Source organism: Homo sapiens, chromosome 22, assembly GCF_000001405.40.
Source record: "Homo sapiens chromosome 22, GRCh38.p14 Primary Assembly".
Lineage (NCBI taxonomy): Eukaryota > Metazoa > Chordata > Mammalia > Primates > Hominidae > Homo > Homo sapiens.
In genome coordinates this window covers 32,747,996-32,764,958 of record NC_000022.11, presented here as the reverse complement: position 1 = coordinate 32,764,958, position 16,963 = coordinate 32,747,996, and the positions used below count along the sequence as shown (strand labels likewise).

The following is a 16,963-nucleotide window of genomic DNA, read 5'->3' as shown; positions in this document are numbered from 1 at the left end:
CAAATAAGGAGATGATGTCAATCGGCTCAGTCATGATTTCACAACCTACTTAAGAGCTTTGAGGAGAGAGACTATGAGGGAGGAAGAATGTCCATGAATCAGAATGAGGACAGATGGCAGAGGCTTGCCATTGCTCCCCACCACTGCAATGTTCACACATGTGAACTTCAACCTGCTGAAGGGGCTGAGTTCAGATTCACGCCTTGGGGTCTCCAGTCAGGAGATAGAATTTGCAGTAAGTTTTAAATGCCCCTAATTCCATAGTGGGGAGGCACCAAGAGTCAGAGACATCACGTGACTTCCCCCAGTTTGGGATATTAGCGGGAGATTATGTAAATCCACAGCCAGAGCCAACACTGGAACCCCAGCCAAGACCAGAACCTGCCTTCCAGCCCAGTGTTCTTCCAGGCCACGAGGCTGCCTTCTGCTGCGTTTCTGATCCATTTCTCGTGATCCGAAAGCAGCCCACTGGTTCCTCCAGCACCCGCAGCAGTGAGGCTGTTGGGTCATTCTCTTCCAAACTTGCTTTCTCAACGCAGTCTTTGCCGGCTTCTCTACAAAGGGTGAAGTTGGGGGTTGGGGGTGACATCCATGGGGAAATGAGTGGGCCCCAGCCTGGGAGTGGTGAGCAGTTACAGAAAACGGGGACATTTTGTTTCTGTGCTTGATCCTCTGTCTGCCAGTTCCTTAAGAAAGCTGATTAAAAATGGGGTCTTCGCCAGGCACAGTGGCTCACACCTGTAATCTCAGCACTTTGGGAGGCCGAGGCGGGTGGATCACCTGAGGTCTGGAGTTCGAGACCAGCCTGGCCAACCTGGAGAAACCCCGTCTCTACTAAAAAGTATATACAAAAATTAGCTGGGTGTGGTGGTGGATGCCTGTAATCCCAGCTAGTCGGGAGGCTGAGGCAGGAGAATCACTTGAATCCGGGAGGCAGAGGTTGCAGTGAGCCGAGATTGCGCCATTGCACTCCAGCCTGAGCGACAGAGTGAGACTCAGTCTCAAAAAAAAAAAGGGGGGGGGGGCTTCTACACCAAATTTTGGAGGCATCAGTCATCAGCAGCAATTGTCCGCTTCCCTCAAATCCTCCCCCTACTATCTCAGCCTGCTTTTCCATACCCTGATCTCCTTCCCCTTTCCTTTCAGCTTCATCTACTTTCTTCCCTGAGCTTGGGATCCTGGCCTTTCCTCACCTGGGGAAGTGAAAAAACAAAACAAAAACAAACAGAAAAAAAGTTTCCTACTAAGGCAGAATCCTCCATTGGCTTCACCTGTCAGACTCCCAGTCACTCCAGACACTCTCCATCTCGATATACTGGATTGCCCGGGCAGTACTGCATGGCTACCAGCATGCAGACTGTCTGGATTTGAGTCCTGGCTCTGCCTCGGTTTTCACATCTGTAAAATGGAAATAAACAGTGTAGGGTTGCCTTGAAGACTAAATGAGCTCATATGATATGTACCAATGTAAAACTTCATCAAGAAGTACTCTTAAGATTAGAGCACTTGGCCAGGCGTGGTGGCTCACGCCTGTAATCCCAGCACTTTGGGAGGCCAAGGCAGGCGGATCATGAGGTCAGGAGATCAAGACCATCCTGGCTAACATGGTAAAACCCCATCTCTACTAAATAATGCAAAAAAAAAATTAGCCAGGCGTGGTGGCAGGCGCTTGTAATCCCAGCTACTCGAGAAGCTGAGGCAGGAGAATGGCGTGAACCCGGGAGGCGGAGCTTGCAGTGAGCTGAGATAGTGCCACTGCACTCCAGCCTGGGCGACAGAGTGAGACTCCATCTCAAAAAAAAAACAACAACAACAAAAAATAGATCACTTTACTAATTTACTGTGTATATGTTATGTTACACTTTAAAAAAAAGATGAAATGAGTTCATACATTCAAAGCATTCAAAACAGTGTCTGGCACATAGTAAGCACTCAATAAGATACTAATTGTTGTTATTGTAGCTATTGTTATTTAGCCTTGGTCCCCTTGAGGACTATGTGATTAATATTCCTTGCTCCTAAGTGTCTAGAGTAATGAAAGTATCTCCTATTTGACTCATGCTTTCTGGCTTACCAAGCTCTTCCCTGTGCATTCTCTCAACAGCCCTTTGAGATGATTACTATTTTCCTTACCTTACAAATGGGGAAGCTGAGGCTCAGAAAGAAGGAGTTGACTTGCCCCAGATCATCCTATCAATAAGTGGGAACCAGGGCGTGCCCCCAAGTCCATGTGACTTTCATGCAAGGGCGCCCGCCCCACCTCGCTCTGTCCATCAGCAGACCTGTTCTTCTATATCACCTGACTTCCTGGTTGCAGACACTGGGTTTCGCGACCCTGGCCATCTTTATGCCCTTTAGGAAGTGACCTCCCCAAGGTCTCATGGCTTAATACACCAAAGCTGAAATAGATCCCAGGTATCCTGAATTAATTTCTAATCTGGCACCATTTCCACCACAACCTTTTATCTTGTTGGTCCTTTTCCAATTCAGATGTGTTATAACAAAGAGAAAGACATTTTCTGTTTGTTTGTTGTTCCCACTGAGTTAAAGAAACTAAAGCCATTGCATTAGGAATTAGGGGAAAGACGTATGGACAGGGAGCAAGAGGGTGCCAGTCCCAGCCCACCGCTATAACCCTGAGGAAGGATGTATGGACGGGGAGAAGAGGGTGCCAGTCCCAGCCCACTGCTATAACCCTGGGGAAGGACGCATGGACAGGAGCAAGAGGATGCCAGTCCCAGCCCACTGCTTTAACCCTGAGGAAGGATGTATGGACAGGGAGCAAGATGGCGCTAAAATCCTACCCCACTGCTATAAACGTGCTGCCTTGAGTCCCTTCTCTTGCACTTAGGGTTCAAACTACTGGCTCGTTCTGTCTTCAGGAAGATGGCACCCTCTGGAGTCTGTGAAATGAGAAAACCGATGCCATCACCCACCCAAGCCCTCGCTAAGGACAGGTGGCACTCAGGGCAGACTCCTGAGACTCCTCACTCCAGCATCTGAGTCATTCACAAGCCCCGCAGGACCCCGTTTTCAGGTCTTCCCCTTCCCCATCCCGTATCCGACAATCTCCGGGTGCAGTTATTTTAAGGAAAATTCCACCAGGCAAAACCTCACAGAGACACTAATGTTTGAGGGTTTGGTTCTTCCTGCCTCCCATTGGAGACTGGTTTTGAGGTTGTTTCGCTGAATCACTGGGTGAAAAGTAAATAAATAAATGGAGGAAGGAAATCTTGCTTTAAAAGGAATTTTGTGGCCTCCCCGCAAAACAAAGCAGCTGTTATCACCAAAGAAATCTGCAGGACCTGACCTCTCTGGGACTATACTGCATTCTGGGGTTTCAGAGGCACCCCCACCAGAAGCACCTGCCCCACTGCCTTCAAGAGGTGCTCAAAACTGGGCTGCCAGCCCTCAGGAGCAAGCTGGCTAAATCCCATGGCCTCTGGGAAGCCTGACCTTGCTGTTGTCCCCCCACTCCCTTCCAGGGTCAGTGAAGGGCTAGGAGTGACCTGCCCTGGGGTGTTGACATTCTGCAAATTTGCTCAGCTTCCTTTTGGGATCTCACACCCCTTCTCGTGACTCACGCGCATGGCTTCTATCGGCCACCCCTTGCCTCTCTCTCATGTCCCATTTCTTCCCTGGGCTCCTGCTCCTCATAAAAACCAAAGGAAAGAGAGCTTTTGGTAATCAACTAGTCCAATCCCCTCAACTTGGCAATATGGAAACTGAGGCCAGGAAAGCAACAGTAACCGGCACTGGGTCACACAGCACCTTTGCAGCAAGGTTAACACTAGAACTGAAGATGCATTGCCCCCTGCAGCATTTGACCAGCAGATGACCCAGTGGGCTTCAACTCTCCACCTCCCAGCCCTCAGAGGCTGGCAGCAGCTGCTGTCCTCTAGATTGAAGAGCTGGCTGGGACACCGTGTACCCCGGGAGCTCCCCCTGCTAGAGGGAACAGACTGGAAATGGGAGGTTGAGAGGAACATTGTAAGACAGGAACCCCTTACAATATCTATGACGCCAGTGTTTCCTTGACCCTGGACCAGCTGCCTGGGCAGTGTGAAGTGTCCTGGCCCATCATAGTCTTCTAAAGCATCTCACTCTCAAATATACTCAAAGTTTCTCTTTGGTCCTGCTAAAAATCTATCCATTGCTCTGGTTCCAACTCACTCCCAGTACCCCTGGCATTTGAGGCCTGCTGACATTTTCCTCATCTTCTCTCCCTGTCTGTCTTTACACCGCCCCTCTGAACCAGTGGGGAAGGACAGAGGAGCCCCACCCTCAGAGCCTGGTGAATTTCAGAAGCCTGGGCACTGTGGGTGTGGGCTAGGGTAGACGGTGGGAGGCTGGTGTGATGTGAGCTCTGCCCACGGGGGGCCCTGCATGTGCCTTCTGTCAACCTCCCCTGACTGTGGTGGAAGGGAAGACCACTCCAAAAGGAATGTCCACCTCATGCCCACTCTGAGACCCTGGGCACATGACATTACTTACCATCTCTGAGCCCCGTTTCCTCATGTGTGGGATGTCACTCCCCTTCATCCCACTTCGAGAACGAGATTTAGCAGCATAACTTGGGGAAGAATAAAGCTCCAAGCATGCAGGAGGTGCTCAGTAATTGTTTGCTTCTCCTCTCCTTCAACCGAAGGGCAGGGCAGGAGCAGAATGGAGGGAGACCTTCCTTTAGACTCAATCAAGGAAGGGCCGCAGGCCTGCATGGGTGCTGGCTGTTGGTGCGTGGCTGTTGGCTGGGGGCGGGTGGGTGCTGGCTGGGGGGTACGTGGGTGCTGGCTGGGGGGTGAGTGGGTGCTGGCTGCGGATGCATGGGTGCTGGCTGCTGGTGGGTGGGCGCTGGCTGGGGGCACGTGGGTGCTGGCTGGTGGTGGGTGGGTACTGGCTGCTGGTGGGTGGGTGCTGGCTGGGGGTGGGTGGGTACTGGCTGCTGGTGGGTGGGTGCTGGCTGGGGGTGGGTGGGTACTGGCTGGGGGTGGGTGGGTGCTGGCTGCTGGTGGGTGGGTGCTGGCTGCGGGTGCGTGGGTACTGGCTGCTGGTGGGTGGGTACTGGCTGCTGGTTGGTGGGTGCTGGCTGGGGGTGGGTGGGTACTGGCTGGTGGTGGGTGGGTGCTGGCTGATGGTGGGTGGGTGCTGGCTGGTGGTGCGTGGGTGCTGGCTGGGGGTGCCGTGGGTGCTGACTGGGGCTGGGTGGGTGCTGGCTGGGGGTGGGTGGGTGCTGGCTGATGGTGGGTGGGTGCTGGCTGGTGGTGCGTGGGTGCTGGCTGGGGGTGCCGTGGGTGCTGGCTGGGGGTGGGTGAGTGCTGGGGGTGGTAGGAATGTAGGAATCAGGCAGGTCGAGGGTGGATGGGGACATTTCTCCTCACCACCAGCTCTGTCAAGACAAGGGTCTCAGAACTGCCAGATCTCAAGGTTGGAAGAAATTACATTCCAAAATGTCAAGTAGTCTAGTCACAGGCTGATTTGAAAACACTCTTCTGTTAGCTGTGCCATGATTGAGAATTTCATCCCAGCCTGATGGTAGCAGGACCACGATTTTCATGGTCAACTAATAGTCGTTGAGCCCCTTGTACATATCCTGGGCTTTCTCATATTTGGTCCTTTCAAGAGCCCCATGGTGTGACCATCCATTTACCAAGAGGGAATTGACAGTTCCGGAAGATTAAATAATTTCCCCAAGCCTACACGGCTAATAATTTCATGTCATGAATATTTGTTGAACACCTCATGTGTGCTGGCTAGGCCTGGGAATGCAGCAGTGGAAAGGCAAGCTGGATTCCCTGTCTAATTCTGGGGCTCCTTCCACCTCCTCTTGCTTCTGTCTCTTCCATCTGGCGACCACAACTGAATACAGGGCTTAAAGAACTTAGAGAGATATTGAGAGGTTGGGATATAATCTTATGAGTAAATCTTAATGATGTGGTTAATGGTCCTCCATGGGGACAGGACCCTCCCTTGAAATGCAGTTTGGAAACTTGTGGGAAGACTTTTGGTTATCATCACAAGCAATGGGCACTATGGGCAGATAGTCAGGGGGACTGGGAATGCATACAGGATACTCTGCACAGCCAACAGCTGTCCTGCTACCCACAGGACTGTTGGATTTGGTCCTACCAGACACCATATAGGTGAAAAGTCATTTATAATTATCTGAGCCTAGAACCTAATTCCATATTAAATTCAAACACAAAGTATTTAGGCAGTGTGTTAGTCAGGGTTCCCAAGAGGGACAGAACTAATAAGACATATATATATATATATATATGAGTTTAGTAAGTATTAACTTACACAATCACAAGGTCCCACAATAGGGGCTGTCTGCAAGCTTGAGGAGCAAGGAGAGCCAGTCTGAGGCTCAAAACTGAAGAACTTAGAGTCCGACGTTTGAGGGCAGGAAGCATCCAGCACGGGAGAAAGATGTAGGCTGGGAGGCTAGGCCAGTCTTGTCTTTTCACATTTTTCTGCCTGCTTTATATTCACTGGCAGATGATTAGATTGTGCCCACCAGATTAAGGGTGGGTCTGTCTTCCCCAGCCCAGTGACTCAAATGTTAATCTCCTTTGGCAACACCCTCACAGACACACGCAGGATCAATATTTTGCATCCTTCAATCAAGTTGACACTTAGTATTAACCATCACAAGTCCACCCCTTGTTAACTTGAACCCATACACATCTCCTCAGATCATACATAATCTTCAAATAAAGACAATAATAAGGTCATAATTATGCCTAACATAATACAACTATCCTTGGTACAACCGGAAACAAACCAATCCCCAACCTAAATACTATTACATAAAGTTAACAATATTTAAATGCTGATATGAAGTCAATAAATCTTATGTGGCATGATAAAGGAAAAGGAAATAAAATGAAAATATTTTCTTAGTACAAGTGTATAAATGCACAAACATGTTTTTTAACCAAAGAAGGAGGAAATACTCATGACAGTTACAGTCCTCGTTTCTGCAGCTGGTCACATGGTCATAGCTGGTATTGATATTGCCTTCTTTTACTACGCATTTTGTATTCCCTTTGCCTTCAGCAAGCATCTCAGCAGGTCGTGGTTTTTTTCCTGGTGGAGTGACCCAAACCTTCATTCCTGAGGGGGTCTGGGTCACTTGTAGTCCTGCCTGGATTGGGCTGTTGTAGTTTCCCATTGACCTTAATCACAGGGCATGGTAATACTAAGAGATGTCCTAATGGATCTCCTGTATTCCACACATACTCTTCCTTGCCTCCTTTATGGAGTAGTAGACTGATTTCATCTTGATAGTCGGGGTCGATCAACCCAGCCACCACTGTAACTCCCTTCTTAGCTTGTGGACTTAAAGGTAGGAGGAGCCCAGGCCGGGCACGGTGGTTCACGCCTGTAATCCCAGCACTTTGGGAGGCCAAGGCTGGCGGATCACCTGAGGTCAGGAGTTAGAGACCAGCCTGACCAACATGGAAAAACCCCGTCTCTGCTAAAAATACAAAATTAGCTGGGCGTGGTGGCGCACCGCTGTAATCCCAGCCACTCAGGATGCTGAGGCAGGAGAATCGCTTGAACCCAGGAGGCGGAAATTGTGGTGAGCCGAGATTGCGCCATTGCACTCCAGCCTGGGCAAGAAGAGCAAAACTCCACCTCAAAAAAAAAAAAAAAAAAAAGGTAGGAGGAGCCCAAAGTGTCCAGATGGCAATCTTAACTCCAGTTTAATAGAATCATTGTTGTGTCTCCTGGTGGCAGTGTTCCTCCCTCTGGAACTAAGACCTATATGCCAGCAGAATGTAATGGTGTGAGAACAGGAAGCAAAAGCAAAAATCATGCTAGTGGATCACTAGGGGTGATGATGAGTGGCAGGAAGCACTTTCAATATTTGCTTTTCCTCCAAACCACCCCCCCTCAAAAAAAAGTGCAACCACTGTGTCAATTAAGGGACAATTATACTTTGCTTTATTTGAAACATTTCCGACAGTTGTTAATCATTTCAAAAAATCAAGTCACTGATGACAATGGCAATCCTACTTCTGGCATTTGAGTTGTTAATGAAACATTTCAGTTGGTGTGTTAGGCTTTTCTTTCATTGCTATAAAGAAATACCCAAAACTGGATAATTTACCAAGAAAAGAGATTGACTGGCTCATGGTTCTGCAGGTTGTACAGGACTGGCCCCGACACCTGCTCAGTTTCTGGTGAGGGCTTCAGGGAGCTTCTACTCATGGTGGAAGGCAAAGTCACATGGTGAGAGAGGTGGCTAGGAGTCAGGGGAGGTGCCACACACTTTTGAACAACCAGATCTCACGAGAGAGAATTCACTTACTATACTGAGGACAGCACCAAACCATGAGGGATCCACTCCCATGACCCAAACCCCTTCAACCAGGCCTCACCTCTAACACTGGGATTACATCTCAACGTGAGATTTGGAGGGGACATCCAAACTATATCAGTCGGCATGTATAGTTGTAAAATGCATGGCAATTCTATGCATAGGTGCAAGCATCAGACTGTCCATTTTCATTATAAATTATTATTTTTTATTATACTTTAAGTTTTAGAGTACATGTGCACAACGTGCAGGTTTGTTACATGTGTATACATGTGCCATGTTGGTGTGCTGCACCCATTAACTCGTCATTTAACATTAGGTATATCTCCTAATGCTATGCCTCTATAAATTATTTCTGTTTGATTTTTGCTTTATGTTACAGTTAGGGGACTCCAGTTAACTTTTTTTTTTTAATTGAACTTTAAGTTCTGGGATACATGTGCAGAATGTGCAGGTTTGTTACACAGGTATACACGTGCCATGGTGGTTTGCTGCACCCATCAACCTGTCATCTACATTAGGTATTTCTCCTAATGCTATCCCTCCCCAAGCCCCCCAACCCCCACAGGCCCCGGTGTGTGATGTTCCTCTCCCTGTGTCCATGCATTCTCATTGTTCAACTCCCACTTACGAGTAAAAACATGCGGCGTTTGTTTTTCTGTTCCTGTGTTAGTTTGCTGAGAATGATGGTTTCCAGCTTCATCCATGTCCCTGTAAAGGACGTGGACTCATTCTTTTTTATGGCTGTATAGTATTCCATGGTGCATATGGGCCACGTTTTAACTTTTTTAAAAAAAATTGTGTACGTAGGTTCACTATGAATTTTGTTTCAACATAGTACAAGGGGCATTAAGTGGTATTTGTCATAGAAGGGCATTGGTGTGTGAGAAGTTGGGGCTGGGGCCACCATGGTAGATGAAGGTTGCCCACAACAGAATGACAAAGTGTTCTTCCTCCTCCATCCTTGGAGGACAGAAGAGTGGAAGCTCTGCTTATGGGATTTGCAGTAGGCTTGGGGCATGATTTCCTGGGCAAGAAAGCTCTTTGTCTTTAGAGTAGATAAACTAATGGAAAGAACGCTGAGCTCGGAGTCAAAAGATCTGAGTTGGAATCATGGTTCTGCCACCTCCAGATGTTGGAACCAGGCAAAACTTCTCTGGTCTTTGTTTCTCCATCATCATGGGAGCCCCTTGGACCAGAATTAGGTGATCTTGCCATGTAACGTTTGAATGCTTCAAGGATTAGCTTTCAAGGGCTCTCAAGATTGCTTTCCCCTCTGGAACAGTCAGTGTGGTGGGTCTGAAGGCAGCGGGTGAAAGTGACAAGAGCATTCACTGTTTTGAACCTGGAGATGCCATCTTGAACCAGTAATTTCATTTCTCTGAGCCTTCGTTTTAGCCCAGATAAAATGGGAATTATCATAGTCCTACCTCATTGGGGTGATGGGATTTAACAAGATGACCTTTGCAAAAAGTGCTGGAACTCCATAGTTCTCAGTAAATGTTCGATGTTAGTTTCCTTCCTCCAACCTTCCCCAGACCAGTTCCCAGCCTCTGCGCCTCTGCTCTGCTCTCTAGTCCCTCAGTCCCAGTGCCAGACTTGGGAGGGAAGGACTTGGAGTTGTGCTGAGTCTCACATTGTCCTTGCAGGGGGAGCAGAGGTTAGAAGTCCCTTCCTATCCAGGGAGTTTCCACCTCCTTCTCTGGGCCAGCTGTGGGGCCCATGGAGAGAAGAGTGACTAAGATAGGGAGAATTTCTGGAGGCCTCTCTGGCCCTGAACAAGGCTCCACCCACCAGGAAAAGCACAGGAAAGTGATTTCTCAATCTGGAGACTTTGGACAAGGGTTTGGCCAATGTTACATGGAGACGCTCACCTTCCCTTTCAGCAAGTGCCGAAGGAGCAAAGGCATCAAGGTGTAGGACTGTATGGTATGCTCAGGGAACGTCTGAGGACTTGCTGGAATTTACAGTGCAGATCAGAGTGAGGGGAAGGGGGAGCCGGGTGGAGGAGCTAAGACAAGGCGAGATTCTGCAGAACTTTGTTTGCCTTGCTCAGGACCAACTCTTCACATATCAGGTCTGCGGCAGCAGGAGAGGATGGTCTGGTTGCTTGGGCAGTGTTCAGTAGTCCAGTACTGGGAGGATGACCAAAGTGCAAAGTCCTTTTTTTTAAAAGAAAGAGGCCAGGTGCAGTGGCTCATGTCTGTAATGTGAGCACTTTGGGAGGCCAAGGCGGGCAGATCACCTGAGGTCAGGAGTTTGAGACCAGCCTGGCAAACATGGTGAAACCCCGTCTCTACTAAAAATACAAAAAGTAGCCAGGCGTGGTTGCAGGTGCCTGTAATCCCAGCTACTTGAGAGGCTGAGACAGGAGAATCGCTTGAACCCGGGAGGCAGAGGTTGCAGTGAACCAAGATCGCGCCACTGCACTCTGGCCTGGGCGACAGAGTGAGACTCTGTGTCAAAAAGAAAAAAAGGAAGGGAGGGAGGGAGGAAAGGGAATCAGCTGGAGAAGAGATGAGGAGCACATTCCAAGTCAATGGAGTAGTCGTCCAAAGGCCCAGAGGTGTGGACCACCACCATGGTCCGGGGACTTCGAGTGGTTATGAGAAAGGATGGGGATTAAAAGAAGAGTTCTGGAGTCAGACAAGCCTGTGTGCAGACCACTGCTGTGCTGCCTACGTATTCTCAGAGCCTCAATTTCTCATATGGAAAATGGGGATGAGAATTCCACACAAGCACGTGAGCTCCGTGAGAGCAGGCCCCTGGCTCTCTCATTGGCTTCTGTTAGGACAAGGCCTGGAGGGCCTGGCCTGGGGTGACCCCCCTGGCTCTCTCATTGGCTTCTGTTAGGACAAGGCCTGGAGGGCCTGGCCTGGGGTGACCCCTTGGTCTGTGTTGGCCAAAGGAGGGATTGATGAAAGGCACAATGGGCGTTAAGTGTATGGGATAAATCAACACCCAAGAATAAAGATTCCTTTGGAGTGTGGGGCTTCTTAAAGATTCCATAGACGAGAATGAAAGGGTGGTGGAAACCTCGGAAGCCAGAAATAGGGACTTTTCCTGTGAAACGTGGGGAGCCAGTGAAGGTCTCTGGTGGGCTAAGAAGCCCAGCGGTGGCTGGGTGTAGGCCCCTGCTGGGGAGTCTGTTGGGCCTGGGCCCTTCCTGAGGTGGAGCCAGCCGTTCCCCAGGAAGCTCCCTATGCGTCATCGTCATGGGGCAGTCAGGGTCTTCTGGAGGCAGCTGCAGCCCCTCTAGAGACAGCCTGAGTCAGGAGTTGGGAATTTCTGGAGGTGGCCAAGTGTGGGCCCCTGGGGTTGTTCCCTGGGACTAGGAAGGAGCTCCCACCGGCCTGACTTGGAGTCATGGGATCTGTATCTGCAGGCCCACAGGACCCGTGACCTTTGACCTTTCATACAACCTGACCCTTTGACCCCAGCAGGCTCTACTGTTTGGTTTTCTGGGGGGAAAGGAGAGCTCAGGCAGAGATGGAGAGGGGCAGTGCTGCTGATGGAACCCCCATATATACATCTTCCTCAGGGGCCCCGAGGGGCTCTTCTTGGCCTCTGCTGAGGTTCTCCAGCTGGCTCACTGCCAGGAGGAAGTCCATGTTGTTTGGGACCAACCCCTGACCCTTCTGGTGGTTTCAGTGGTTCTGGGGGAGGCTGGAGCTGTTCCCCAGAGTGCTCGGTTTTCCCTTTGCTGCATTCTGGGGCTTCCACTCACCCCCGCTCCATTTCTCTGCTTCCCACACACTTCCGCCAGAGAAGCCGGCCCCCCATGCATGCTCCCCATGGTAAAACATGGCATTCACCACTCTGCACTTCAGCCTTGCCCCACCATCTCTGCTTCAGGAACTCTCTGATCTCCTGTCGATCAGAGATCGACAAGGAGCCAGGACCCCCAGAAGGAGGTTAGGTGACTGGCCGAGAGCAGGGGCTGCTTGCTTGTCTGCAAAATAAAAGAAATAGGATGCCCTTCTGGGGTGGTGGGAGGGTGAAACAAGATGAGGCCTGGACAGGGACAGCAGAGCCCCGGCACGCGGCAAGTGCTCAGAACAAATGCGGTGAGTCGTAGAAGGAGTAGCAGAAGCAGTCATTGTATTATAGTTTTTGTGATTTAATGAGTCATTTTAATTTAATCGCAGCTCAGACCCACAACCTTGTGCTGAGGGGGCTGAAGGGAGGCTGGGGCCAGAGGCAGGCCAGCTCTATCAGAGGTGGCTCCGTGGAGGAGGACAGCTCATAAATGAGCAAGATTTTGGTAGTGAGGAGAGCAAATGTTTGGTGAGAAGGATGGAGACGAATGTTCTAAACTGAGTCAGTGACCAGAAACACAGCTCTCAGTGGTTGCAGGATATCGACCTATATTTAGAGGGCACAGGCTTAGCACTTTGCACACAGTTGGTGCTTAATAAAGGATGGCTGCTGTTCCCAGCTTTACCCTCAGTAAGGATTCACAGTGAGGGCTCATCAAGTTCAATGCCTAGGGGACTCGTAGTCATGTACTCACTCAGCAAGTATTTATTAAGCATCTACTATATTTCAGGCACTGTTCTAGGAGTTGGGGATGCACCAATCAACAAATCTTGCCCTCAAGAGGTTATCATCTAATGAGGAAGTGGCAGATAATAAACGAACAACCTAGAGAATATGTAGTATGCAGTGTTTTTCCTCAGAGAAGGATCATTTATGCTTTAAAACATCAGAACATGCATAAAGCACTTAGAGAGTGCCCAGCTGACACATAGTAAGTGCTCACTAAATGCTTCCTATTATTTTAGCTCTGGCCTCACCAGTCTGAGTGTAAACCATCACTATGGCCATCATAAAACAAGATTTCTTTGGCTCTGCTTCCACTGTTTAAGCATTTTAGCCCCTGCAAGCCTTTCCTCAACGGCTCTGAGAGGGCCTGTCACAAGGTCTCCCAGAATTTGTCCTCTTGGCAAACAAGTGGCATTATTCCTCCTGTTCTGATTCTGCAACTCTGACTGAAGGTGGTGATATCCCACTGCTGTCAACACCCTCTGCCAAGGTCACCACCAGAAACTGCCTATAGGCCAGTTCTGCCGGGCACCCACAGAGGCCTGTACGCGACTGACAATGGCTGAGTCAGAGACACACCTTGCCCAAGAGAGCTGTCCCCCGATCTCTCCCATGACCACCCGCACCTGGACTCCCCAGATCCCAGGGGAACATTGGAGGGGCATGCCTTGTTTCCCTACCCCACCCCTCTTCTTTAAAAAGCACTTTCGCCTTTCCCCTGGAATTCTGAGTTAACTTCTCAGGGCCAGAGCAGAGGCCACTTCTGAGTGGCCCTGCTGCCATTTACCACTGCACTGCAATTGCGCCTGCTAAGGTCAGTGACCTCTAAAGGTCACTGCTCCATCTTACCTAATTTGACCTACAGCTGGTCCATTGCTCCTCCTTGAAACACCCCCTCCACTTTGGCTCCAGGATGACACACTCACCAGCGTCCCTCCTGGCGTCACTGGGTTACCCTTCAGCTTCAACACCGGCTGGGGGCTGGGGGCTGGGGGCTGGGCTCAGGGCTCCTGGTCCTCTTTTTCTCCCTGCCTGCACACACACCTTCATTCCTTTGTTGCTCTAACCTGGTGTCATGGTTTGAAAACCCGCAGCTCCAGATTCACATATCAGAGACTGCTATGAGGTGTCTCCCCTGGATGTCTGATGGGCCTTCACCCTCACAGTTCCAGAACTGAACTCCTGATCTTCTCCCCACCCCAAAACCTGTGCCTTCCTCAGCCTTTCCCATCCAAGTTACCTTAGGCAACTGTGCCTTAGACCCCAAACCTTGGAGTCTTCCTTGCTTGCCCCTTCTCTCACCACCCACCCTCACACCCAATCAAATCCGTTAACAAACCCTGTAATCCCAAGGTCCAGATCCCTCCAGAATCCAACCATCTCTCACCCTTCGATGCAGCCACCTTCTAGCTGGCTTTCTGGTTTCTGCCCTTGCCCTGTTTCAGTATATTCTCAGCAGAGCAGGATGACACTGCAAAGTGTAGGTCACCCTTCTAGCACTCCACCCCATCCAGTGGCCCCATCCCACAAAGAGTCTAAGTCATTGCCATGTCTGACAAGGTGCTACATGATCTACACCCGCTGCCACCTGTACACCACCGTTATTTCTCAGACCTCATCCCCATGATGCAGAAGGGGTTTAGGCAATAAGAGCTCTAATAGATATGAAGCCCTGGCTGTCGTCTGAACACAACAGGTGTGCTCCAAGTTCGAGGCCATTGCCCTTGCCCTTGCCCTGAAACAATCTTCTCCCAGATGTTCATATGATTCCGTCCCACACCTAGTTCAGATTTCTACTCAGATACTGCTTTCTCATAGAGGGCTTCCCTGGCTGCACTGTTGAAACTTGAACCCATTCTAACCCATGGCGTTCTCTGTCCCCTTCTCTTGATTTATTTTTCTCTGTAGCTCATCTCCCAGCTAACATACAATATAGTGATGTATTTATGTGTCTGTTGCCTGTCTCCAACCACATCGATCTTATTCACCACCGTGTCTCTAGCACCTAGAACAGGACCTGGCACTTAGTAGGTGCTTACAGAATGAATTTGTAAAAGATACCACTCTTGATATTGACCCTACGTCTACCCTCCTTCAATCCTGGCTCATGGCCTTGAACTCTACTAGTAGGCACTGACTCCTACTGCACTTAGGGAAGGCATCAGACTCTCATTCAAACAGACCCCTATCTAGCCCTGACTCATTACCATCCAGAGGAGCTTGGCATGCTAAGTTTGACCTGGAACTATTCTCCTCACTCTTCCTTCCAACCACAGTTCAGTCTCTACCAAATGAATATTTATCATTGCCAGAGAGGGCTGGGTTAGAGTTTAGACCAACAGCACTGCAAAGCAGGGATCTTCAGAGAAGACTAATGCCGTAGACTGAATGTTTGTGTCCCCCCTACAAAATGTATATGTTGAATTTTTGTTGTTGTTGTTGTTGTTGAGATGAAGTCTCATTCTGTCACCCAGGCTGGAGTGCAGTGGTGCGATCTTGGCTCACTGCAACCCCTGCCACCCAGGTTCAAGCAATTCTCCTGCCTCAGCCTCCCGAGTAGTTTGTATTACAGGCACCCATCATCGTGCCCGGCTAATTTTTGTAGTTTTTAGTAGAGACGGGGTTTCACCATCTTGGCCAGGCTGGTCTTGAACTCCTGACCTCACGATTCACCCGCCTTGGCCTCCCAAAGTGCTGGGATTACAGGTGTGAGCCACTGAGCACGGCTATATGTTGAAACTTAACCTTTGAGGTAATGGATTTGTGTGTGTATTTTGGGGTGGGGGGGGGGCTTTGGGAGGTGATTAGGTCATGAAGGCAGAGCCCTCATGAATGGGATTAATGCCTTTGTAAAAAAGACCCCAGAAAGATCCCCTGATGCTTTTGGCATTCGAGGACACAGTGAGCAGACAGTCGTCTATGAACCGAAAAGTGGACCCTCCCTGGACACCAAATTTGCCAACACCTTAATATTGGACTTCCTAGCCTGTAAAAGTGTGAGAAACTGTGTTTATGAGTGCCTCAGTCTTTGGTAATGTGTTACAGCTACCCAAGTGGATTAACACAGCCAAGCAGGGTCAGCTATTAACAGAGAGGGAATTGGGAGCGGGGGCAAAATGTCCCAGAGTTTCAATAAGCCCCAGAGGGAAACCCAGGAAACAGAACCCAAAAGTATCACCAGAATGGAGTTTTAGTCACTAGCTAAGCCAGAACCGTGCCATGGGTTGGCTCAGGAAGGCCGAGGGAGACAGAGGCCACAGGTGTTACTGGGGATACCTGGGGCAGAGACCAGGGGCTTCTAATGTTCCATCGTAGTTGGCCCCATGCCTTCTACCTTCTAGGGGCTACCTTCGTTCTGGTCGAGGATAAGACCTGAGTCCATCTCCCCACAACTGCGCTGTCCCCAGATTGGCAAGGGCACTTAGCAAACAGCTCAGTCTAACCACCTTCCAAGTTACATCATTATTTATCTACATGGCAGATAATGTTTCTAAATTTTGGCTGGATGCATGAAATAATGAATGAATTCTCCCATGCTCCACTCCAAGAAAAGGAAGAGGGGAAGATCAACTTTTTACTGTTGATGTAAGATACTCTTCACTGAACTCTGATCACACCCTTGCCCCCGACACCCTTTCTTGGTTTTGCCATTTTCTCTAAGGCAGTTGTTGTCAACCTTGTTTTATTGATGAGGAACCTGAAGCTCAGAGAGGTTGCTGTCTGTACAAAGTTATACAACTTACAGCTGGCAGAACCAGCATTTGAAACCAGATCTGTCTGACCCCAAATCCCATGCTCTTTCTCCTGGGCCACCCTCTCTTGAATGAAGAATTATAAGTATCTACTATCTGTTGGCCACTGCATTAAGATACCTCAGGTAGGTTGTTCTAGTTCATTCTTATATTATGAGACTCATATTAGGCCCTTGTTACAAGTGGGAAAACTGAGGTTTGGTGAGATTATCTACCTTTCCCAAGGTCATCCAGCGTCTAAGGTTCGGAGCTGGATTGGAACCTGGCTTTGTTTGACCCCAACACCAAGCTCTTTTCACTGCTCCACAATGCCAGGACACGAGGCCATGTCCAGGCTGGT

The 16,963-nt window shown here is 49.5% G+C and overlaps 1 protein-coding gene across 18 annotated transcripts in view, besides 3 other annotated features; it reads left to right on the top strand.

The window, feature by feature from the left end:
• The window catches only part of SYN3 (synapsin III), a 550,562-nt gene that overhangs the window by 293,423 nt on the left and 240,176 nt on the right, over window positions 1-16,963 (top strand). The window lies entirely within an intron of this gene.
• Window positions 551-1,061: an enhancer, noted in NCBI's record as "H3K27ac-H3K4me1 hESC enhancer chr22:33159884-33160394 (GRCh37/hg19 assembly coordinates)". NCBI's record gives its function as "activates a minimal SCP1, AML or CMV promoter by ChIP-STARR-seq in primed H9 embryonic stem cells {active_cell/tissue: H9 hESC(primed)}" and the evidence as "EXISTENCE:reporter gene assay evidence [ECO:0000049][PMID:30033119]".
• Window positions 7,201-7,382: a silencer, noted in NCBI's record as "fragment chr22:33153563-33153744 (GRCh37/hg19 assembly coordinates)". NCBI's record gives its function as "represses an EF-1alpha promoter that drives an FKBP-Casp9 reporter gene in an ReSE screen in HepG2 liver carcinoma cells {active_cell/tissue: HepG2}" and the evidence as "EXISTENCE:reporter gene assay evidence [ECO:0000049][PMID:32094911]".
• Window positions 11,865-12,649: an enhancer, noted in NCBI's record as "H3K4me1 hESC enhancer chr22:33148296-33149080 (GRCh37/hg19 assembly coordinates)". NCBI's record gives its function as "activates a minimal SCP1, AML or CMV promoter by ChIP-STARR-seq in naive H9 embryonic stem cells {active_cell/tissue: H9 hESC(naive)}" and the evidence as "EXISTENCE:reporter gene assay evidence [ECO:0000049][PMID:30033119]".